The sequence below is a fragment of the Homo sapiens genome, chromosome 2, assembly GCF_000001405.40.
Source record: "Homo sapiens chromosome 2, GRCh38.p14 Primary Assembly".
Lineage (NCBI taxonomy): Eukaryota > Metazoa > Chordata > Mammalia > Primates > Hominidae > Homo > Homo sapiens.
In genome coordinates, this window is record NC_000002.12 from 143,879,063 (window position 1) to 143,905,335 (window position 26,273).

The 26,273-nt window shown below is 38.6% G+C and overlaps 2 annotated features.

Moving 5' to 3' along the window:
• Positions 12,378–12,883: an enhancer, noted in NCBI's record as "OCT4-NANOG hESC enhancer chr2:144649008-144649513 (GRCh37/hg19 assembly coordinates)". NCBI's record gives its function as "activates a minimal SCP1, AML or CMV promoter by ChIP-STARR-seq in naive and primed H9 embryonic stem cells {active_cell/tissue: H9 hESC(naive and primed)}" and the evidence as "EXISTENCE:reporter gene assay evidence [ECO:0000049][PMID:30033119]".
• Positions 12,884–13,388: an enhancer, noted in NCBI's record as "OCT4-NANOG-H3K4me1 hESC enhancer chr2:144649514-144650018 (GRCh37/hg19 assembly coordinates)". NCBI's record gives its function as "activates a minimal SCP1, AML or CMV promoter by ChIP-STARR-seq in naive and primed H9 embryonic stem cells {active_cell/tissue: H9 hESC(naive and primed)}" and the evidence as "EXISTENCE:reporter gene assay evidence [ECO:0000049][PMID:30033119]".

The window sequence follows — 26,273 nt, forward strand, 5'->3', positions numbered from 1 at the left end:
GATAGTAGGCCTTTATCTATTCCAAGACAGATTTCAGTAGATACTCAATAAAATGTTTACCCAAGTCAAAATTGTTAAAAAAAAAAAAAATGCAGAAAGTTTGTGTTATAAGCTAAATGAAGTGATTAGTGAACAACTTACCAACTGGGTTCAAAAGACCAAAATAAATGAGGACAAGGGGAAATGGATGAAAATTTCCTTTGCTACCCTTAAGTTTTTCTGCTATATAAATACCCTTTCGTGGTGGGACGCTGTGGCTCATGCCTGTAATCCCAGCACTTTGGGAGCCCGAGGAGGGCAGATCACGAGGTCAGGAGATTGAGACCATCCTGGCTAACACGGTGAAACCCCATCTCTAGCGAAAATACAAAAAATTAGCCAGGCGTGGTGGCGGGTGCCTGTAGTCCCAGCTTCTCGGGAGGCTGAGGCAGGAGAATCGCTTGAACCTGGAAGACGGAGGTTGCAGTGAGCCGAGATCGCGCCACTGCACTCCAGCCTGGGCAGCAGAGTGAGGCTCCGTCTCTAAATAAATAAATAAATAAATGCCCTTTCAACAGATGTAATCCTATGGCTATTGAGATTTAGTGAAAGTTACACTTGATAACTCTTTCCTATTTAAGGATCAAAATCAGAAGACATTTTGGTTATAGGTTAAAAATCTCTTGGATCTGAAGAGGCAGTTTACCTAAATTCATAGTAAATGGTTTAGAGAAGAGCATGTAGGGAAAATCCACAATTATAGAATATCTTGCAAACTGCTTTTTAAAAATATGAACATTCTTTTAATTAAAAACATGTAGCTTCCTTTATGAGGCAATAGCCCCTCTCCCAAGTATTGTGAATAGTCAAATCTGCTAACCTCCTCTCAGGGAAGCTGTGATAGGAATTCCTGCACGGGGAAGTTTGGAGGAGACGATCCGTTATTTATATACATGAAATTCAACTATGCTTACCGACTCTATAGTGATCTCACAGCTGTTAAAATAATTATAATGGGGGAGAGATGAAAAAGGTTGGTTAATGGGTCCAAATATACAGTTCAATTGAAGAAATAAGCTCTAATGTTTCATATTAGAATAAGGGATGATTATAGTTAACCACAATGTATTGTATATTTCAGAATAGCTAGAAAAGAGGGCATGAAATGTTCCCAACAAATAGAAATGATAAGTACCTGAGGTGGTGGATATTCCAGATACCCTGACTTGATCATTACATATTCTGTGCATGTAACAAAATATCACATGTACCCCATAAATGTGTCCAAATATTACATATCAATACAAAAAGTTATAACAACTTATTCTTAAAACATTTGGACACATTATATTTGATAGTAGCGGTGGTGAAATGTGTATTTTTACTCATCTAGATGTTCCCTAAGTAAATACATTCTTTTTATCTGTATTCCCAAGGATAAGCACAGTAAATACATACACAGAGAGTACGTATTTCAAAATGACTATTAAATACATGAAAATTTTATTTTGAACAACTGATTCTTTACTTGTTTGCCTGCTTATTTTTCAGTCCCTACTCCCAGGTCTGTAATTAGCATGCTTATTTTAATACAGTTGTATGGATGATAAATTACACACTGATATGGGATTTCCCCAAATGACAGACTATAAAAATGAACATGGGGAATCAATCAATCAGGAAGTCCTTTGTTTACAGTCCTACTATACTTCCTAGTTTAAAGTCATCAACCGAAAAGAAGGGGGGCAATGGCTGGACCAGCCAGGATGGTGTTACAAACTAGCATTCTGGTTGGTCTTGACCTGTGCCATGCTGATGATTACTTATTTTGAACATCAACTTTGGTTTCTGTTCTAAGGCAATTTGTGATCCTGATGAGAAGACACCATGTAATTATAATTTTAAAATAATTAGACAATAGAGAGTACATGAAAGACATGGGATTTTATACAATGGCTACAAGGCATTTGCAGAAAATGGTCATATTTAGGAGGCAAATTTCAGGAAGAGGTAACTCACGGGATTTTCATTTGGAGCACTGGCCTTTGTGTTCTGAGGTGATTCCCAGTGTTAGTTTGGATTAATACAATCTGTGTATCGGGACAGGTGGCACCAGCCATCATTGCCTTTTCTACTTCCATAGGCTTTGTTCACCCAAAGCCACCTCACTCTCTAGAGATGCACGCCAGGGTAGTTTGCGTGTGGTGGTTGCTTCTCAAAAGGCCACAGCTAGGTCACACATTATTTAAAGCACTACTTTATTTAAGACAACTTTCAAGTGTTTCTTCCCCCTTTGCTATCTATGATTGCCCCATTTCAGTTTGCCATAGAGCAGCTGTTTCGATATCCAGCATTTATCCGTTCTCCACATGCATCCAGCCCAGAGGGATTGTTAAGCAGATCATTGTTTTAATTCTGGCTACATTCCAGGTCCCCATTATTAGTGATCCTGTCTTAACATTTACTGTTCAGTTTGGCTCACAGGTGATGTTGATTAAATTGGATATACCATCTGGGGTGGGTTTTTGTCTTGTAGGCACACTCCAAGCTGAGCACACCTATGGCTTCATTTTGGTCTGAAGTTTCATGCCACATTGGATGGCATTCTGGACATGATTTTCCACCACCTGGGCGTGATTCTTGGCTAATTCATTTCGTAGCTGTGTTGAAATGAAGCAATTCACTTCACTATTAGGGTCTTGGTTTCCTAACAAATAAACCAAATAATAATCATTCATTCATTCCTTCACTTAGTTCCTTGTTCATTTTTTAACCATTTATTGGCCAGCCACTTTGTGTCTGATACTCTACGAGCATGCAGAAATCAGAGACAAACAGGGAGTCCAAGCAGAGGCGGTAGGACGCACAGACAGAAAGGCAAGAACACCACATGTACTGTTCACAGAGCAGTGCTCTCTACCAACAGATGGGAGCGAAGAGCTCTGGAGCCTGCAGGACATGATCACTGAACTGGATCTTAAAGATCGAGAGCTCCGAACTCTGCTTTCATGCATCTCATCAATTAAAATATCCATGTGAGGGTAACACATAACAATTTTATCCTATTATTGGGGGAAATAAATCAAACATATATGAATTACTTATTTTCTTATTATTTCATTATTTAAATACACAAAGCAGACTTGAATACGTGTGCTTCATACCACATGGGGTTGTTCTGAGAATCAAATGGCATGATGTGTGAACAAACACCTTCTAAAGTGCTGCAGAAGGCTCTTTTGAGCATGTGGGTGATGCTGCCTGCCCTGCCTGTCCCACTAAGCTGTCACAAGGACTGAATTAGAAAAGGAATGTGAAAAAATGTTGGAAATGTAAAGCACTGATAATAATAAGAGCAGTAACAACTAACACTTACCTAGCTCTTACGATGCGCTAGACATGGTTCTAAGTGTTTTACTTGTATTAGCTTATTTAATCCACATGACAACAAATACGGTATGGCTTAGAGGTGAGCCATATGAAAGTGTTAATATTTGGTCATTTCTGACCTGCCAAAATGACAGTTTCATATGGTTCAATCTGTTATTACTTTCCTATTTTACAGATGAAGAAATGAGATGCAAAGAGTTAAGCCATTTACCCAGGGTCACAGAGTTAGTAAAAGCATCTTGTTTTTCCCATTATTTATGGACATTCTGAATCTGTTGGTGTTCCTGGGTTCCAAGAATAAAAATCCAAAATGTCTAGCTTTAAAAAGAAAAATAGAAAGTACATGGAGTTTCTGGTAGAGTCAAAGGAAAGCTGATAAACAGAACATAGCCATCCCTCTGTACACTCAGGGGATTGGTTCCAGGACCCCCATGTATACTCAAATCCATGCATACTCAAGTCCTGCTGTGGCCCTGTGGAACCATGTATACCAAAATTCAGCCTTCTGTATAGAAATATATATTCTATTTCTCACCCCTCCATCTGTGTTTGGTTGAAAAAAATCCGTGTATAAATGGACCCACGCAGTTCAGACCCATGTTGTTCAAAGGTCAACTGCATTTCCAGAATCCCACTGTTTCTCATCACCTCAAGGTCTGCCACTCTGTTCCAAGCCACTGTCATCCCTCACCTGGATGAATGTGGGAGCTTCCTAACTGGTCCCTCCACTTCTGCCCCAGCCCTTCTTCGGGCTATTTTCAACCTAATGGAGATAGATCGTGTTTAAAAGTTGGTCAAGTAATGTCATGGTTCCACTGAAACCTATCAGCGGCTCTCATCTCTTGCAGAGGTGAAGCTCATATCTTCACTCTGTCCTATGTGGCCCTATGTGATCTGCCCCCAGCCCCAGACCTCTCTGACCTTGCTGCCTGCTAGCATTCCTCCTTCCCTCTGTTCCACTCACACATGCCTGGTGCACCTCAGACCTCTGCGTTTCCAGAGCTTTCCCCAGATCTCTGTATGGCTCACTCCTACAACCCCTTCTGGTCTTTTCTCACACGTCACCTTCTCAGAGAGGCCTTCACTGATGTCTACTTAAAATGTCAATCCTAACCCAACAATGAACTTATCTTCCTGCCTTCCTTTATTTTTTCTCCTTTGCACTTAACGATTGTCTCGTAGACTTTATGCTTGCTGATTTGTATTTATAATGGGCTGTCTCCAGTAGAATATTAGGACAAGGATATTTTACTATTTTGCCAAGTACTGGGCATAAATAAATACTTGTTGAATAAGTGAATGACAAGGCCTTGGAAAAGTTAAAATACAAATAAACAGAACAAAACAAAACTAGGCTTCCGGAGATGTAAGAAGCTCTAATTATTCCCTGTGTAATTGTGTACAAAAGTTCAGTTCTTAGTAGAAATTCATGGATGTAGCTTCAGTCCCATGTCTACCCACTGGCCAGAATAGAGCAGGGCCCACTGAACCACTAAAATATGGGAAGCAGCTGGCATTATTATGTCTATTACCAGAAGAAGGGGAAACAGAATCCAGGCAGGTAAAAATCTATAGCTGTGCTACCCACTACACACACTGACCTTCTTGATTGGGTTCTCTACTTTTTACTGCATTTTCTTGTCATTTGATACATCATCTAGTATTCTCCAGAAATAGGAAACTTCCACGAAAATTTGGATATAAAACCAGACTTCCCAATGCAGACCATGATTACTTCCATTTTCTTTGTCTTCTCTTTTCTTTTTTCAGATGGAGTCTCGCTCTGTTGCCCAGGCTGGAGTGCAGTGGCGAGATCTCGGCTCACTGCAACCTCCACCTCCCGGGTTCAAGCAATTCTCCTCCCTCAGCCTCCTGAGTAGCTGGGACTACAGGTGCGCACCACCACGCCCAGCTAATTTTTGTATTTTTAATAGAGATGGGGTTTCACCATATTGGTCAGGCTGGTCTTGAACTCCTGATCTCGTGATCTGCCTGCCTCAGCCTCCTAAAGTGCTGGGATTACAGGCGTGAGCCACCACACGTGGCCGATTGCCTCCAATTTCCTTAGGTTGATTGTTTTCCCATAAAGGTAGACTTCAATATGTATATTAGAAGAATCTACGCATCTTCTATAGATTTTTGAATTCTTGTATTAGGATTTTATTTTAAAGAAAATAGAGGAATTATTAGCTTCTAATGTTTCTTTTATTCTTCTCAGAATGAAATAATTATACTGCTTTTGCTGATAAGAAGGTAATTTAAAAAAATTGAACAATGCCGAAGTATATAATGTTCAGCTGCCTCAACCAGGCCACTCTCCTTGTTTCCATTGTATCCTACAAATGTAATCTCTTTTTAACATTAGGAATATGTACTTCCAGCATTTACTATTTATGATATTTTTATCATAAAAGGCTTTTATATATACACTAGATAGAATAATAATATGCACTTCTCTATGAGCTGCACATTAGACAAATTAATACTGTGCAAACTGTTCTACAACCTGCATTCTTTATTTTACATTGTATCAAGAATAGCTTTTCATGCCACATTGGTCTGCCTTATCTAATTCAAAGACTGCATAGTGTTCCATTATATGAATATATTATAACTTATTCTATCAGTCCTTTAATGATGGATATTGGTACTAAAAACAAGGCTGTAATTGATATCCTTATATGTAAACATCCACTTGTATTTTCAGGATAAAGTCCAAAAAGTACAGTTACTGAGTCAAAGTGTAGATATATTTTACATTTTGGTGCACATAACTAGATTGTACTACAGAAAATTTATAGCAATGTACAGCCCCATCAACAGTCTATGACAATGCTCACTTACTAAAACCTACCATCATCTTTGGCATTCTAATAGAAGGCACAGAATCTGTTAGCATGTTCGTGAACTCTAAACTCTATATAGCAGATATTATACAATGCCATCTTCAATGATGATTGGAGATGAGTCCAACAAATTAGTGTAAGTCTGACCTAAATGAACACAGCTCCAAAAATAGCAACCAACTGCTGCACAATAGAACGGTACTTATTGGATCAAGGGTATGGCATTAGATGGGTTTCACCATTTTCAACAGGACTGGACCCTAACCAAGGTAGATGCTGTGGTTAATATTCTGAAACACAGGGTTAGCCAGCGATGGGCAACGATGTGATACACCAGGCTTTACTCCCCACTCTCTGGCCCCTGGCAGACAAAGAGAATTCCAATGAACTCAGTCACCACCTCTGAGTCCTTCACAACACAGTGCCCTCAGCAGCCACTGCAAACTCATTGGGTAGGTACATCAGGCACAACCTGAGATACACAGTGATTTTCCTAGACAAATGAAATTCAGAAGATATAGAGTTTTCAGCAGGGTATAATTTAGGGGAAAGGGGAAAGTATAGGTGGCATCTGATCAGGACCTTTAAATCAATTTTCCCAGCATTTGTTAGTATTGAAGATGGAAACAGGTTGAAGTCTGAAGGCCTGTTGTGATTTGTGGGTGTGCCTAGTGGAAAACATTAACTAATAGTCAATTTAGAAAGATTCTGACCAGAATCTTGCTGCGGGAGACAAAAGTGATCCAATGATAGCAACTACATTAGACTTCTTAAGATGATTAGGCAAATGGAAATTCTGTATTTTTGAATAGTATTTCTTAAACAGTATGTATATTTCAATAGACAAAACTTAGGTTGCTGTCAAAAATTCTTAAAATTTTTTTCTTAGTATTATGTTTGTAAAGACAATTAATGTTATCTGCTGTAACAAACAATCCCCAAATTTCAGTAGATTCACAATAAAGTTTATTTTTTGCTTCCCCCAAAATCAGAGAGTTTTTCTGAATTCTTCTTTCAGGTGATACCTATAAAACTCAGGCTCTTCGTGTCATACGATTTCAATACATGGCCTCCATTGTTGCTATTGAAGGAGAAGAAAGATTACGAAAAATCACACAGTTTTCTAGCCAGTCCTAGAACTGTTGTACATCATTTCCATCCACTTCCAATTGGCCAGGACTTAATCACATGGCCCATCCTGAAGGAGCCTGGAAAATGGAGTCTCCCTGTGTGCCCCAGAAGAGGAAATGGGATTGGTGAGCATCCAGACAACCAGTCTTCGAGTACACAGCCAGGCTTGGGAATTTTATTATTCTTTGTAAATCTGGTAGCAATAGTCACTTCTTTAAAAATTTGGAGGGAGAACTACTTTGTTATATTTCAATGGGTTCTCTAAACCATATAATTCTTCATTCTTTAGATATAATCATAAGTACAACCTGAATTCATAGTTTGATATTGCAAAACACATATATTTTCTTCAACCTCATTTCCTGACATACAACTCCTAAAATCCTTAGAATCTCCAAAGTATGTTATTGAGTTTACTGGGGCTGGCTGCCTCCAGGTAGCTTCAGGATGGGGCTGGTCACAGGAAAGACCAAGGCAAGATTAGAGGATTGGAGCTTTCAGCCCCACTCCCCCTCAACCTTTGGGGAGTGAAGAGGGCCAAAGGTTAAGTTGATCCCCAATGGCCAATGGACATTCGTTTAATCCATCATGCCTAGGTAATGAAGCCACCATAACAACTCAAAACTAAAGGGTTGAGAAAGCTTCCAGATAGCTGAACACATGAAGGTTCCTGGAGGCTGGTGTCCCTGGACAAGGCATGGACGCTGCACACCCCAACCCCATACTTTACCTTATGCCTGTCTTTATCTGTGTTATTTATAATATCCTTTCTTATAAACCAGTGAATGAAGTAAAGTGTTTCCTGAGTCCTGTGAGCCACTCTAGCAAATTAATTGAATCCAAGGAGGGGGTTGTAGGAACCCCAATTTATAGCCAGTGGCTCTGAAGCACAGGTAAAATAACCTGGGGCTTGCAGTTGGCATCGGAAGTGGCCGCAGTCTTGTGGGAGCACCCTATGGGATCTGTCACTAACTTCAGGTCGACAGTGCTGGGATTGAATTGAATTAGAGGACATCCGGCTGATGTCCCCTGTAGAACTGATGGCTTGCTTAGTGTAGAGGGGTGAGGGGGAACCCTACACACATTTGGTCACAGAAGTCATCTGTGGTGATTGTTGTGGTGTGACAGCAGAGAAGAAACAGTCTACTTTTTTCCACTCAGACACAGACACTCAGCTCTGAAAGCTGAATGTGATCTCAAGGGACTCCCTGGTTAAATCCACCTCTGAAGGCAGGTAGTAGACTCTTCAGTGACTCCCAACCCCTTTTAACCACCAAGAATTCCTTTAATTATTTTTTCTTTAAAGACCCTATGTTTAGAAATAATTTGTCGACTAACCCACATTTATAGAGCAACAAGCATTCATTTTTCCCATATGTTGTTAATCATAAACATAAAAAATTTCAAATCAGAACTCTGATCAGAATGTGGAGATGATTCTTACACTGAGTTGATCTAAAGCTGGCCAGAAGCAGAGATTCAGGGCTCCAGTGAGCCTGTGGGTTTATGTCAGTGTTATAAACTGAATTGTACCCTACAAAATGCGTATATTGAAGCTCTAACTCCCAATGTCTCTGTATTTGGAGATAGGTCCTGAATGAGGGTAATTAAGGTTAAGTGAGGTCATTTGGGTGGGACCCTAATCCAATGGGACCACTGTCCTTATAAGAGAGGAAGAGACACACCAGAGATATTCCCTGTGCTCACACGAGACAAGGCCATGTAACAGCACAGCGAGAATGTGCTGTCTTCAAACCAGGAGTGCTTAGACCTCCTGCCTCCAGACTGTGAGGAAATAGATTTCTGCTGATTAAGTCACCCAGTCCAAGATATTTTATTATGGCAGCCATAGATGACTAATACCCTCAGTGAAAGGTAAAATTTCTATCGTAGATCTTTAAAACATGAAAATAGACAAATGTTCACATTGTCTTAGTAAATCCAATTAGGAACAACTGTATTATCATCTTTGTGCAAAAGAGCTTCATTTATGAAGGGTAATATTATTTGTTTGGGTTTTTTTTAATTGAGATGGGGTCTCACTCTGTCAGGCTGGAGTGCAGTGACTCAATCACAGCTCACTGCAGCCTCAACTACCTGGGCTCAGATGATCCTCCCCCCTTAGCCTCCCTAGTAGCTGGAACTACAGGCGTGCATCACCACACTGGCTAATATTTGTATTTTTTTGTAGAGATGGGGTCTCACCACATTGCCCAGGCTGGTCTTAAACTCCTAGGCTCAAGGAATCCACCTGCCTCAGCCTCCCAAAGTGCTGGGATTTCAGGTGTGAGTCACCATGGGAAACATCAAGGGAAATATCAGCTTCATCTCATTTCCAACAGGTGAGGTTTTGTACATCAAGTGCTATGTATCAAAAAGCCCTGGCTGAAGGAAGAATTTGCTTCATAAACAAAATTCTATATGATTTGACATGTGTTTGCTTTTTACTATAATGTCTCACCTACTGGAGGTTCAAGTTCTATCGTCAATATTCTTTTAGGCAATTTTTGCATACAATCATACATGTACACTAAATGCTGTTGAAACTGTCAACCCCAGTTATTATTTTTAGATTAGTGCAGAGGATGGGATAAAGGAATCATGACATTGAATAAAACTTATTCAGATCTGCCACCAACACATCATTTCCCCATCCCTCTTCAAGGCAAGAATCAGTACTTGTAAGTGCAGGAAAAGTTATTGAGGCAAAATGCCGGGGTCATTTTTAAAATGCTCAGAAACTTATTTTGCGAAGAGTCACTGCCCATGGGTGTTTGTCGTTGCACTGGCTCCCTCACCTTCATGTATGACTTTCACACACACACATCATGATTCTGCTTCTCTATGACCAGTACAGACTTAAAGAACGTGAAGACTGTTCGAAAGCAGGATTTAGCATCCCCATTTTAATAATAAATACAAACACACACTTACCCAGTACGTTTTACGCCTGCCTGCAACAAAAACAGCTGAACAGATTGTGATGAAATTCAGAGACTGACAGTCTGACAAAAAAATCCCTTTTTGTCTAAAATCTGGCTTCCATAGGTTTGTGCAAATCTAAATATTTGATTTTGCACTGGAAAAGGAGCCAGTCTTATGTACAATTTATAAAATAAATGTGTAGATACATGTTTTAAAATCTCCAAATTTTGTCAACACATACTGTCCAAATTTAAAGACTTTTCTCCCCCATTTTTTTTCCTATGACTTGGGTGTATTTTCCCCCTGCTTTTTAAGGCTTTAACTATATTTATCTAATAAGAACTCTTTTGCAAACCAGTGTTTCAATAACGATTTAACAGTAGTTTCAGTGTCAAATTGCCCTTTCCTCAGCAGGGAGTTTTAAGCCTTGCTGTATTATACTTCCAAGACACTCAGGAGCTGGAGTTGGGAGATATAATATTTTCTTTGAAGTTTGCCTTCACAACACACTGGGATGCAAACAAGCTTCAGTTACTCAGCAGTCAAACAATTCCATCACACAGCGACCAGGGCTAAATATTGTACCCAATTTTCTAATTATATCTTTGTGATATTGACTACACGAGGTTAGGTGAAAACAGACTGGAATCACTATAAAATGCCTTGTCTAAACAGGAAATCTGGACTTTGAAATATTTCGCTTGTTGGCTTCAAATCCCCGTTTGGCAAGTCATAATAAAAATAAAAATAATTTAATTGATGAAAAAATTTATGGCATAAATTCTTCACATATATGTGAAGAATAAACACCTAATAAGGTATTTATTAGGCCAGAGATATATATGACCCACTATATATGCATGTGAAGTTCTAGGTTAAGCAAATACATTTTACTGTTCTACACATTATTACACTGCCTTTATGGTTTATACATCATAGCAATTCAGCTGCCTCAATACTATTTCTTTAAGGGATTTTTTAAACGTTTCAGATCCTGGAAGTGGGACTTTCTCCTTTTGTAAGTTTTCTAAAGTTTATGCATGATGCAATCATTAATTTATAGCAGCATCTAGAGTGATCTGTATTTCAGAAAAGAAAATTCAGGGGTTTCAGAAAGTTATCTAGGGTCTCACAGATAACTAGCGCTATCGTGGAGAAGCGGGAGAGAGGGCCTGACTCATTAAAAGTTGCCACCAGCACCATTTCCTTAAGGACAGCCTTAGCTCAGAGCACACCAGACCACCTCCCTGCCTTCAATGAGCTGATACTTAAAAGTAATAACAGATGGGAAAAGGGGATGAGAAAGAATACATACTAAAAATTATTACCTGGCAGTCATCTCGGGGAACTGGGACTCAAGGATTTTTATTCTCTTCTTTTTGCGTATTTATATTTTTCTAATGTTAAATGACATTTAGGGGAGACCATTGTTTTGAACGGAGCTCCTGCACTAGGTCCTAGCAGACCAGAGCAAACCAGAATAGAGTCACTCATGCTAGGTGCCACACAATCAAACTGAAATTTTAAAGGGGCCAGTTTAAAACACACACACACTCACACAAGCAAAAAAACAGCAGCTTCACAGCAACCAATCAGAATGAACCTAATTTACCTGAGCCAGCATGATAAGAACATGCCCTCCGTTTCAGCACTAAGGAAAGTAACTTTGAAATGACCAACCCATTCTGGTTCTGTGTCTGCTTTCTTCAGCCCTTTTCTGTGTATAAAGCCAACTTCCTCTGCTTGGGGCGCCTTTTCTAAATATTTAGATGGAATGCGGCTGGATTAATGAATGACTAATGAAAGCCAATTTGATCTCTAAATTTGTTATAATTTTGTCTTTTGACACTAAAATTATAAAAATGAGCAGGTATGAATTGTGTCATCAAAAAAGCACAAATAACTAAGTCAGGATGAAGAAATTTCATATGCTTTGGGGAAAATCATAAGCATTGTCGTGTCCTGTATCTCTTGTATCTAGTAACTTTTGACATAGACCAACTTGTCCTCCTCTGCAATCTCGTACAAAGAAAAAGTCAGCTATGTGTCGTTAAACACCTCCTGAGGATAAAAAAGGTGAATGCTCAAAGGAAGTCAACCACACGTTAGTGTTTATTCAGAGAAGTCTATAACTATAAAAATAAATATTACTCAAGCCATATTTAGAAGAATTACAAAGATGCACAGAAAACTCAGTCTCCAAGAAATTGCACAAATTAAGTCATTGACCCGCATTGAGTTGAACACCAAACAAGGTGCCCCATCTTCTAAAGTAATGAGTATTCTTCAAACAGCAAGGGAGCACAGGCTGCTGTTTGATGCTGATGACACTGAAAATTTAGGAGAACAGAAATCCCATCATTTTTCATTTGTATGCAAATTTGTCTGTTCCAGAAATTAACCCCTGGACCCCATGTCAGTTTTCATCTCTAGGAATTTTCTTTGCCTGCACCACACGGTGTAGTCTTGTCACTATCCTAAGGTCACTAGGCTTCCCCAGTTTAAAAATAACAACTAGCACCACCAAAGTCATAATGGTGCTTTGTTTATCCTCATTACTGGAGGCTAAAGAGCACTAGAGGAGAGGCCTGTTGTAAAACGCGCATCTTCAATGGCCGGCCCTGCGTGCTAGTGGCATTGAAATGCAAACTACATCCTACTTTGGCCAGGCGGCATTCATGGACCACTTCTCCTAGTGTTAAGGTAAACCTGGGACAATAGATCAATCTGATTACCCTTCTTTTCAGCCAGGTCTTCAACGGGTAAAAAGTTTCTTTGTTACTTCCCACCTTAGACAAATGTCATCATCTACATGTGAAGGGGAGAGAGGTGATTGAGGTTTTTAATTGATGTGGACTTAATTATGCTAATTTAGACAGCTGCAATGCATTTCAGGATAGCTGCATAATAGGGTGAGCAAATACAGGTGCCCTTCTCCGTAGGGGCTTAATTTTTAACCTAGGTAGGTTTAAAAGGGAAAGGGAGTTCAAAAGTGTAGACAAGTTAAGATTTGTAAAGGGAAGTTCACCCGCCCTCCGAAATATTTAGCAGGCTTTACATGCACCTAAGACAGAGCCGGTTAAAAGCCTCAGATTGGTCTCTAATTAGAATAGACCATTTTAAATGATGGGTTTATCAAGAGTTGATTCGAGATAACACTAAACTAGAATTTTGGAATTAAAAATGACCTTTACTTCCATCTCTGGAAAAAAAAATCACACAATGGAAATGGTGATTTTAAAAAAAAAAGTAGCAAGAAAGTTTTAAAATATTTTCTTAAAAAGGAAGGGGATTTTGACTTTTGAACTTTAACGACAAGGTGAGTTTCCCTCACCATGTACAGGACATGACTTTCATTCCGCTGCTAGCAACGTGGAGACATGATACTCAGTGTCATCAGTGGGAAAAGGGTATTTGCTTTTTTTTTTTTTTTAATTGCTGCCTAATACCAGTTTTTTGATGAGTATTGCCCACACCCTATTTCAGTTGTTCTGGTCTTTTTTTTGTTTTGTTTTTTTGAGACGGAGTCTCGCTCTGTCGCCCAGGCTGGAGGGCAGTGGCGCGCGGTCTCTGCTCACTGCAAGCTCCGCCTCCCGGGTCCACGCTATTCTCCTGCCTCAGCCTCCCGAGTAGCTGGGACCACAGGCGCCCGCCACCATGCCCGGCTAATTTTTTGTATCTTTAGTAGAGACGGAGTTTCACCGTGTTAGCCAGGATGGTCTCGATCTCCTGACCTCGTGATTCACCCGCCTCGGCCTCCCAAAGTGCTGTTCTGGTCTTAAACAAGATGTGACACAGAGTCCTATGCACCCCTCAGAGGCTCAAGAAACCCTGGCTGGTTAATATGCTGCTCTCAAAAGAGGCGGGGTCTGACAGGGCAATACTGGACAGGCCAGTATGCAATGCTGTGAGTGAAGAGGAAGAAATCTGAAGGGCTTTTATGACTTTTTTTTGTGGCTTGCTGAGGTAGGGAGGTCTGAAAAGGCTGCACCTCTTCTGTTCCCTTTTGCCTCTGGGTGACACTTTCTTCAAGGCCCGACTTGTCTCCATAGACACAGATTTTCTTCCTAGGAGGCCTATTGCCTTTCTAGAGGACAAAGAACTTAGAAATGAATCATCTTCCTTTCTCCCAGCCATTCCCTTCTCACCCCTGTCAGGCTTCTCTTCTGTGCATTTTCCTTTGTCCCACACTAATCAGAGATGTAATTAGCTGGCAAAGATAAGAAGAAAGAAGTAGGGCATCTGGCCTCCGCTCCAGCGAGGGTGCAGAGTGACCTTTCCAAGCCCGCCCTAGTTTTTGGTGAAAGCACACAGATTTGGGGTGAATTTTGGCTCTGGTTTTTACTGACTCTTCAGATCTTGGATGAGTTATTTCACTTATCTGACTTAATTGATTTACCAAATGGAATACTTATTCACAGTCCATGCATTTGTTGAAGCTACACTGGAAGTAAGGTTGAAAAGTGCCTAGGACTACGTACATCCAGCACCCAGTAGGCACCAAGGATGCTGTTCCGCTATTTCTTCATCACCCCCAATGCGCTCACTTTCCCTATCCAGCACCTCCGGCCCCTTTCTCTTTGCATTGACCCATAGCTTCTTTATTCATGCCCTTTTGGGATACCATCATTGTATTTTCTCTTCTCTTTAATCTTTTAAAATTTCTTTCCTTCTGCCAATTTATAACTTTTTTTTTCTGTTGTTTCTCACAGATTCTTTTACTGTCTTCCTTTCACCTCTTCCAATCTGGGGGCTATAACAGGAGAAGAAAAGGGTGGATGCAGGTAAAATTAAAATAGGAATCATAAAGGAATGAAGAAAAATAAATATTCAAAAACTCTATAGCTAAAATTCTGACATTGTTTTGGTCAAAGGAATTCAAAATAGTGTGTGATGGATATCAATTTATAAAAGCTATTTCTTTCCATCTGTATGCCATGAGTTTAATCTAAGTATGAAACCCAGTCATCAAAAACAATATGGAAATGTTGCAACTTGGATTAGCTGTGGATTTGATCCCAGAAATCATATGATTCTGTTCTTAAAAATCACCTAAAAATGACAAGAATAGTAAGAATTGCAGCAGTCTTTTAATAAATAGTGCTTTGGTCAAATTAATACATAACAATAATAATAATGAGCTTTTTGTTTCTAGCAACACAGCAAGCCAAACTAACACAAACAACTTTCTCCTCTAACTCATGGAAATGCTGGATGAAATATGACAAAAAGAAATGGAATACATAGTTGAGTTTGAAAGACAGAATAAAGTTGCCTGCATCAGAAATAAAGAAAAAGTATGGTTAGAGTAGTGAGCACATGAAAGGACATAGTAAATGTGAGAAATATTACTTCAAGTAAGCAACAAGGAAATTTGTTTCTGCTCGCTACAAAAGAAGAAAAAAATCAGCAAATATTAAAACTCCCTCAGATGCACCTCATGCACATAGAGAGTACGCATTTATAGTCCTGAGTTACTTTAAAATCTCAAATAAAGAATCTAATGTACAAATAAAGGAAATAAACTTGACAAAAGCAAACCCCAAAACCTATGTTTACGGTCACTGACACAACCTGGTGTGTCCAAGAATCCCACAGAGGAAGAAAAGTTCAAAATAAAAAAAGGCAAGCCACACAAGCAATTTTTCGTAAGGGAAAGTCAGAAGACTCAAGAAACAGGAGGATTAGAACCCTAATAACTTAATGTCATAAAACAGTCTGAGAGACACCATAAAATAAGTATGCTTAGAATGATAAAATAGATAAAAGACAGAATCACCATAAAAATGAAAGAACAGAACACAATGAAAAAAGGAAAGGCAAATTTGAAAAATAGCCAAATAAAACTTGCCGAAGTGAGAAGTATGTTTATTAAAATTAAAATCCTTAATGGACAGGCTAATCAGTAGCTAAAGAACTAACGTGTGAACTGGAAGGTAGATCTAAATAAATTACTTCCAATTAGTACAGAATAAATAAATAAACACATATATAATTTTTTTAAATGCTAAAAACTCGGCATATTGGCTCATATCTGTAATCCCAGCTACTTAAGAGGCTGAGGCAGGAGGATCACTTGTGCCCAGGAATTCGAGACCAGCTTAAGCAACACAGTGAGACACCCATCTCAAATTTAAAAAAAAAAAAAAATGCTAAGAGACATGAAGGAAAGAATAAGATGGTCAAACATTATCCAATGAGAGTTATACAGACATGAAATAAATGAAAATAAATTCATAGCTAAAGACATCATAGTAAACATAAATAATACTAAAGTTAAAAATACACATATATATTAAAAACAACCACAAAGAAAACTCAGATTATCTGAAGAACAAGTTAGACTGAAACAGAATTTTTGTCAGCAAAAACAGAACCAGCAGGAAACAGAATAATATCCTCAAAGTGCTATGAAAAAACAAAAATCTTAGAATTGTATATCCAACTAAATTAAAGATTAAGAATATGATAAAGAGATTTTTGAATAAAGACTGGTAGAGTTTATCGTCTTCAGATTCCTCAGTGAAAGAACCACCAACGGTATACTTCAGTAAGAACACTGAACCAGAAGAAAGGAAAGGTACAAATTACAATGATCAAAGAAATTAGAAAACATTCAAGTAAATACTGAAGTAAAAATAATAATGGCTTAGTACAGAGGGTAAAAAAATGAAAAGTGAAATAATATATTGATAGTGGAAGACTGTAATGATTAGACATTAAAACAAACGAGTCATGTGCGCTTGTTAAAAACCTGTGAGAAACCATTGAAAATAGAAACAAAATATATAACTTCCATTTAAAAACAAAGAACATGAAAAATAATTAAATAAGACTGGGGGAAAAAACAAAGTAAAACATGGTAAATAGAAATTATGAACCCAATTTAAAATCGTAGAATGTCACATTTTCATTAATTACAGCAAAGATACGTGGAATTAGAACTAATATGTATTGCTCTTGCTGCCACTTGTCACAGCTAAAAAAAAAAGAACTAACACTTATTGAAATCGTATTAGCTTACATTTATATTTCTGTAACCAACTGTAAGGAAGGGTTGGAAATACTAATTTTGGGGATTCCAGTTGGAGAATGTGGGATTCTGAATGTGGGGAACACCTACAGAGAGGGAATTCAGTGGAGCCACAATTCCAAATCTCCACTCTAGACAAATTATGCAGGACCAAGAGGCCAACAATAAAAAGAGACAGTGTGGTACACAAAAAAAGTCCTGGCCTGAATCAGGAAATTTGTGGGTTTGTTCTAGATCTGCCACTAACTAATTTTATAATCTTGATGACTGATTTATGCTCTCTAGTTGTCTATTTCATCATGAATAAAATGGGGGGTTATAGTAAGCAACTGCCAAGGTTTCTTCCACCAACAATAAAAACCCAGATTCTTTGACATGGTAACAGAGAAGAGAAAGAGACATGCTAGGACCTCCCTTGTCACACCGTCATCTAGCCTCTGCACCTGGATGATGGGACTTCACTAATTGGCAGGGACATCAATCAAAACAAGGTTTGTTTTCAAAGGTATCTGGGGAAAGCATCATTCATTGACTCTCCAATATCCGTTTTCTTCCTCCTTCCTTCACAAAATGAATACCTGGTTTGAGGTTGGGTGCAGTGGCTCACACCTGTAATCCTAGCACTTTGGGAAGCCGAGGCAGGAGGATCACCTGAGGTCAGGAGTTCAAAACCAGCCTGGCCAACATGTTGAAACCCCATCTACTAAAAATACAAAAAAATTAGCCAGGCTTGGTGTTGCACACCTGTAATCCTAGCTACTTGGGAGGCTGAGGCATGAGAATTGCCTGAACCTGTGAGATGGAGTTTGCAGTGAGCCAAGATGGCACCACTGCACTCCAGTCTAGGTGACAGAGTAAGACTCTGTCTCAAAAAAAAAAAAAAAAAAAAAAAATTCTGGTTTGAGTGTAGTAGTATTTACAACTAATTAATCACAACCAGTTACAGATTTCTTTGTTCCTTCTCTTTTCCTACTGTTACATTTGACTGATCTTAAATATAATAAATAAATAAATAAATAAATAAAAGTGAAAGAATACCAATTTTGATGAGAAGAACAATACACTCATCTCAATACTTTCCTGATTCCTTTGATGCTAGGAATGGCCGTGTGACACAGATGCATGCAGTGAGGTATGGTGGGAAGGATAATATGGATTTCTTGAGTCTGGAAGTATAGCAGCCATCTTGCTGCCATGAGACAATATGGCCAAGGGATGAGCCAAGAGAATTGTATTGACAACTGTCCTGACATTGTTAGACTATTTATCCAAGGAGCTATCTACCCCCAGTCATTTTGCTAAGGGAAATAAGGAAACTCTTTATTTAATGCATGTTTTAAGCTTTTCTGTTACTTACAGCTGAGCACATTCCTAACTGACAAAGAATTATCTATTAAGGATTAATTAGGTTTGTACAGAACACATACTTAGGCTAGACCAATTAAAATATGAATTTGGAAAAGCAAAACTGAATTTTGAGTTCCATCTGAATTTTGTGCATCGTCAGTTTTGTTTTTTGTATTGTTTTTATCAAGAGACTGGGTCTTACTATGTCGCACAGGCTGGAGTGTAGGGACTATTTGCAGGCACAATAATAGCACAGTTTAGCCTCAAACTCCTGGCTTCAAGTGATCTTCTAGCCTCAGCCTCCCAAGTAGCTGGGACCAGAGATATGTGCCAGATCAACACACCCAGGTAAGATCTTTTAAATGTGTTACTGGAAAATTTAACATATATATGCTGGGTTACCAAGATACTGAGAATATAAACTTAAAACTGAACCTTTAATACATGAATACTGTTCGAGGTTACCTGATAAGTTTGAAATACATGCTACAGTGTGGTGAAACATGTAGTGCTTAAACTTTCCAAAATCTGGAAAACGCTTTAGTAAATGGGCAAGGCAAATAAAAAGTATAGAAGATGTGATCTTTGATTGTATACACTTTGATGTTTAGCTTTGCACTTTCTCCTGGAGAACCAAAAACACCAGCAGAATTAAGGTATTAAAAACCCATGTTCCGTCAGGTGCAGTGGCTCACGCCTGTAATCCCAACACTTTTGGAGGCTGAGGCGGGTGGATCACCTGAGGTCAGGAGTTCGAGATTAGCCTGGTCTACATGGCAAAACCCTGTCTCTACTAAAAATACAAAATCAGGCGGACGTGGTGGCACACACCTGTAATCCCAGTTACTTGGGAGGCTGAGGCAGGAGAATCACTTTCACCCTGGAGGAGAGATTTCAGTGAGCTGAGATCATGCCACTGCACTCTAGCCTGGGCAACAAGAGTGAAACTCCGTCTCAAAGAAAAAAACAAACAAACAAACAACAACAACAACAACAACAAAAACCCATGTCACTGAGATGCAATCTGACATTGAATAGTGTGAATATTTTATTTCCTACAAGATATATTTACATGACATTCATAATCAATAAACATGGATTACTGGAATTTTGATATGTTTGGTTCGAGTGCTTTAAATATACAGGTTCAACTAATGTTCTCACTCAGGCTCATTAAGGACATTTCCATATATCTGCGTGTTTCTAATTCTTCTTGAACTAATCACTCTTTATTCAAAGATATATTTGAGGTACCTGTTTTAATGATTCTTTTAAAGCCGTTACCCTAGATCAAGAAAAATCACTGTCACACATTTTGTATATATGTTTTAAAACCTGGTTTGCTGGGGTAAAACAGAAGAAGAGAAAAGCCAGATCACATTCTAAGGTTTTGTGCCTGAGAAGATAAATTCCACTGATAATAAAATAACATTGAGGTACTGTTTAAAGAATGGGGGCTTCTTTTTAGTGTTTGAATTGGGATAGAGCTTAGAATAAAAGGTCAGGTGCTTTCCTATTTCTTTTCAAAAAAGTCAGAAATCTTTAAGTGTTTACTTGAAAGAATCAAAAAGCAATATGATCCAATGGAAAAGAGCATGAGTTTTGCCCTCAGACATACTTGATTTCAAATTCATTTAAATGTATTTATTCAACATATATTTATTGAGTCACTACCATGCTCTAAGTAGTACACTAGGCCCTGGAGATACAATGATAAAAAAAATAGATGCAGTTCCCTGTTTTCATGCAACTTACAGTCTATTGTAGAGATTTAATTTAAAAAGTAATCGCCCACAAACACATAATGACATGTGCTATGAAGGAAAAAAAAGTGCTAGGGGCTTGGAGAGCAAAAATAAGGGGTCCTGAGCCAGCCTGGATGAGAACAGAAAATGAGTTCTTGAAGAGAGTGTTCAGGCCCCTATTTAAGAGATGAGGAAGCATGAACTAGGGGCAGCTGTCCACACTGAGGGCATAATAACATGTACAGAAGCTCTGCGGCAAGGGCAAGGCAACAAACAAGCAAAGAGCAACTTTGAGGTATCCATAGTCACAAAGAAAGTCCATCACTCACTTTCTAAGGAAATCAGTTGCAAGTTACTTGATCCCCTTACATTTCAGGCTCTGACAAAGCAGGATATTATAATAATTAAATGAGTTCAGGTACACAAAAGGGCCTGATATCTAGTAGATGCTGAATAAAACTAAGATCCCCATCCCTGTCACTAGCTGAATTTCTACTAAGCCATCCTCCTTGTTTTTCTGTCGCTGGAAGCACCAGCTTTAGATATAATGGAACTTTTCTTATGATTGACTGTCTGATACTCCATGTGCCAACTCAAAGCAATCTCATGTTTATTTATTTAAGGTATTCTTAGTCTTGTCACTCATTTCTCAGATCAACTAGTTAGTTTTCATTCTTATCGCTTCTCATTATATTGAACACAATGCGTTTTCTTATCAAAGGTCACTATCTTCATGAACCTACTACCCTGGTCTATTAGTCAGGATTCTCCAGGGAAACAGAACCAACAGGATATATGGGTGTGTATATATGTGTGTATATATGCGTGTTTGTGGGTGTGGGTCCGTGTGTGGAGAAAGAGAGAGAGAGACAGAGACAGATTTAAGGAATTGGCTCATGCAATTGTGGGGGCTAGCAAGTCTGAAATCTTCAGGGCAAGCCAAAGGCTGGAGACCCAAGAAAGAGTTGGTATTATATCTTGAGCCTGAAGACAGTCTGGAGGCTGAATTCCCTCTTTCCCAGGAGACCTCAGTCTTTTCTCTTCAGGCCTTCGACTGATTGGAGGAGAACTCCATACTCCCATTATGGAGGGTAATCGGCTTTACTCAAAGTCTACTAACTTAGATGTTAATCACGTTTAAAAAACAGCTTCACAGAAACATCTAGACTGATGTTTAACCAAAAACTAGCTATCATGGCCTAGCCAAGTTGACATAGAAAAGTAACCGTCACACCCGGCCATGCCAATTCTACATGACCTCAGCTTTACTCAAAGACTGATGCCTCCTGAGGGCCTGGGTCTCTGACGTGTCCTGGAGACAGAGTCACTTGACAGAGAGACAGAGACATGAGCACAGTGTATGTGATCCCCAAGCCTGTTTCCAAGGCATATGAATGTGAGGCATCAGGGTAGGCAATGGCAAGGAGCAGCGTTCCTACAAGAGCAGGGACGGAGAACCTCACGAGGATAGTGACAATCAAGAAAGGACAACTGCAAACCCTGGCTGTGAGGAGACCGGGGGAGAAAGGGGTGATCCCTTTCCTCACTCCCCTAAGGGTCACGGCCAACACTCCTATGATAAAGACAGGTTCACGAGAGAAAAGCATAGCAAATTTATTTTATCAAAGTTTTACATGATGCAGGAGCCTTCAGAATGAAGACCCAAGACCCAGGGAAAAGTGTCAATTTTTAATCTTAGATTCCATGAAGAGTGGACAGCCATGTTGAAATGCAATTGGATAAAAAATGAATAACCTAACAGTAACAGACAGAGGGGGAACCCAGCAAGGCCTGTGTGTTCAGATTCTTGGCTCCTTTGTGTAGCGTTCTTTCCTCCTGGGTATCAGGCAGGAGCCCTCTGGAATGAGGTCTTACGACTATTGGACATATTAGGTCAGAAAATCTCTTCTGACCAGATCCTAGACAGAAAGGTGGAGAAGATTCAAGTCATATTTCTACATGTTGTGGTTTGCTTAGAGGAAAGAGGTTCTCCTTTCTATGACTCACCTTAAGGAAGGAGGAATTCTAGTTTCTGTGACTCATTTTAGAAGAGAAAGAGGAGCGGGAGACAGAAAGGCAAGAGAAAGTCAGAGAGAGACTTTGCTTCTGAGGCTGTTTCTGAGGCATTCCAATTTCCATAGTTCAAGGTACTTATCACACCAAAGTGCCATATTTTGGGGGTCTCAATTTCTTGGCCCCCAACAGGACAAAAAGTGAACTGAGTTCCTAGAGATACACTCTTAGCCGAATGATATCCCAGTTCTCAACTAAGTCCTAAATATGCAGCTGTGGTTATGCCTGAAGAATGTGCCAAGACTTCAAGATTTATGACCATAAGGTTCCTGTTTTTTCATATGATTATATGTCCTTATATGAAGTCTCTGAGCCAGATTTTCTGAGTGCAGACCTCGGCTTGCCTCCCTACTAATTTTGGACAATTAATTTGTCAATGTGAGCCCTAGTTTTCATATCTATAAAATGGAAAAAATAGTATTACCTACTTTAAGTTTGTAGTGAAAATCAAGTAAGATAATCAATACATCTAAAGCATTGTGCATGGCCAGTAGAAATTGTTTAATGAATGCTAGCAGTTATCATAAATTCTAGCCATCTCTTCCATAACTTCCATCTGGAAAGTTAACCCCTGGCCACAACAAATGCCTCTTATGTCTGCATATGTACATGATACTTTCCAAAGTTATTTATATGTTAGTATATTTCTATTATATTTCATTTGTATTTGTCCTGTACCTTCCATAGCTCCCATTAAAAGGTAAGAACTGATGGAAAGGGGGAGATATTGGTCAAAGGGTACAAACTTGCAGTTCTAAGATGCATAGGTTCTGGATACCTAATGTACAGCATGGTGACTGTAGTTTAAATAATAATGTATTGTGTGCTTGAAATTTGCTAAGAGAATAAACCTCTAGTGTCTCACCATACACACATAAAGGTAACTATGTGAAGTGATGGATTTGTTCATTAGCTTGATTGTGGTAATCATTTCATAATGTGTACATACATCAAAACATTATATTGTATACTTTAAATATATATTATTATGTGCCGATTATACCTCAATAAAGCTGGTAGAAAATTAAAAACATTTAAAAACCCATCTTCAAAAAAGTAAAAATAAGCAAGTAAATAAATGATAAGAAATTATAATGTCTTTCACACTCCCCATAATGTCTCACAATTCCTAGTGACTATTCAGGTTAACAAGCATTTATTGAGAATGTATCAGGTTTAGGGTCCCATACCAGGTGCCACTCACTACAGTGGACTAATGTGTGTATCAATAAGGGATATTTTCCTAAAGTAATTATGCCAAATCTCAGCACCAAAGTGACGGTGCAATAATATAAATCTGGAGGTCATACAACAGGCTGATTATTTGGGGAGGGATATAGACTGCAAAGGCAAGTTCAATATTCAGCAAACAACACTCATTTTTCAACATTTATGAAATGCCTGCTCTAGGCATGCAGGATACTCTGCTAGGTCCAGACTCCTTAGCTGCAAAGGTGTCATTAGACTTGCTATAAAGATGTATTCTCTGTTTATTCATTTTTGTTTGGGGAGGTGATCTCATGATTATAAATTTTTATTAGTTACTAATAGCATTCTTGACACTAAACAAACACAGTGAGTTGCTAATCACAGAAAGGGTCATTTATTTTCTATTTTGGGTCACTTATTTTCTCTGTTGAGGGAAAGGAACATGACAGCTCTCTGTTAATAATGCCAAATTCAAAAATCCTTTTTCTTCTTAAAATCTGAGTATTACGTCCCTTCTGACCACATCTCCCCTTTTAAAGTTATATTGACATCTCACCTCATATTTTGCAACACCTTGCTTAGCAACCAAAACATGCCACTTGCAGAAATGAAACCAAAAAGCTAAAGGAAAACTGAACAACCACAACCAGCTTCTATGGGCAGAGGGGTAGATTCTGCTTGCAGAGTTGCAACATGCATTCTCCCTGGGCCCTCCTTCCCTACAGAACCTAGAAGCAGAACAATATATCTTTCCATGAATATATTATCAGGACTCACTTGACGATCTTGCTGTTGACAATATTGGTTGTACTTCACTTCACTCTCCTCCTGTGGTCCAAAACCAGATTCAATACCCCTGGGCCCCTACCGAGGCTGTACAGCAGCTGAAGGGCCAACTGCCAATGGGTCTGGCACAGAGTCTTTCCAGCCTCGGCACCTGACTTACCGGCTGCCTCCCTTTCAGTCTCATTGGTTGATGAGGCAGCTGTGATTCTGACAATGAGCTTGGTGTTGGGTCAAGTTTTCTGTTTGGCTGACATACTCCCTTAGATGCCATTTTCCTTGACTCACCCTTGATTACAGGGAATGTTCTCTATTACCTTTTAAAATAATATGATATCCATAAGCAAAGCTTTGGATTAGCATTTTTGATAGCATTACCCATCACTGATTTTTTTTTCAATGCTGAAATGCATAAAGTAGGGCTAGAGCCAGCCTAAACCTAGTGCTTAGCCCAGTAGTGTATTAATTATCTTTTGTAACTTCAGAATAAAATGCAGAATTTCCCTCCCTAGGAACCTGGAATGCAATGTTTGCCCATGTAAGCAGTTTATAAGTGCAAATGTGAGTAAGTGTTTTTATATATTAGAAAGGTTGAGAGAATCCTCTTTCCACAAAAAATAAAAAGCTTTAAAAGAATAAATATTCATGTTCTAATACAGGGAATGTGAAATAAAAATAAGTTTAACTCTATTGATAAAAAGTACTTTTATTCAATAGTTAAAAGACAAATCACTTGCAAAATTTGCTTATATAGGAAAAAACTCTCAGTGTTGTAGCTTTCTTTATCATAGAACACCAGCCTCCCTCAAACACCAACTGTGATAATTAATGTCCATATTATGAACATTCTATGTGATACAATTTGTTTCTGCTTTGTTAAAAAAAAAAAAGGCCAAACTGACTGCCAGCACTTGAGATTCTGAAAATAATACTACATATGTTGATAAAATAATTCACTGCTGTTATTAATTTTCCAATTATATTTTGATATTTTAAAAAACTATTGTTATCATATACTTTTATAACATATCTAAATATTACAGATACATAAAACAGAATTGGAGACTCCCACCCACAGAAACTCTCATATAAACAACCTGGTGAATAATTCTTCAGATTTCCTCTCCAAGTGTTCTAATATGTATATAACTTTTACCAAAATGACACCATACTATACCTTCTGTTTGTGACTTCATTTTTTTTATGTCTAATAATTCTTGGACATCTTTTCCATTTGAAGCCGTCAAAACTGCCTCATTCTTGGAATCTCTATGGGCATCATAGTAGAAGGGATAAGATCGTGGGCTTTGGGACCAAATGGCTTAGCTGCATTTGAATCCTAGCCCCAGCATTAGTAATTCTGTGACTTTGACAAGTTACTTAATTTATCTGTGCTTTGCTTTCTAAACCCATAAATGTCAAATTAATAACATCTACTCAAAGTGGTTGCCGTGTCCATTAACTAGTTGCTTCTTGACATTTCGTAGGCATGAGACCACAATAGTACTGTTACCAAGGATATCTGATATCTTATTAACAATCTCACATTGATGGACATTTAGATTGACCATGATTTTTTATTCTCACACATAATGCTCTAATGAACATTCTTCTAAGTACAGCTATACCAATTTTGTGAGTATCCCTAGAGGCTAAATTTTTGAAAGTGTCATGTTTTTAATCAAAGGTGATCTATATTTTTAAAATGATAAATATTGCAAGACTATCTCCAAAATTGTAACTATTTATACTATGAATAAGAGTGATGAGGGTAAATTTTGGATTATGAGAAATACTTTGTTAAACCTTTTG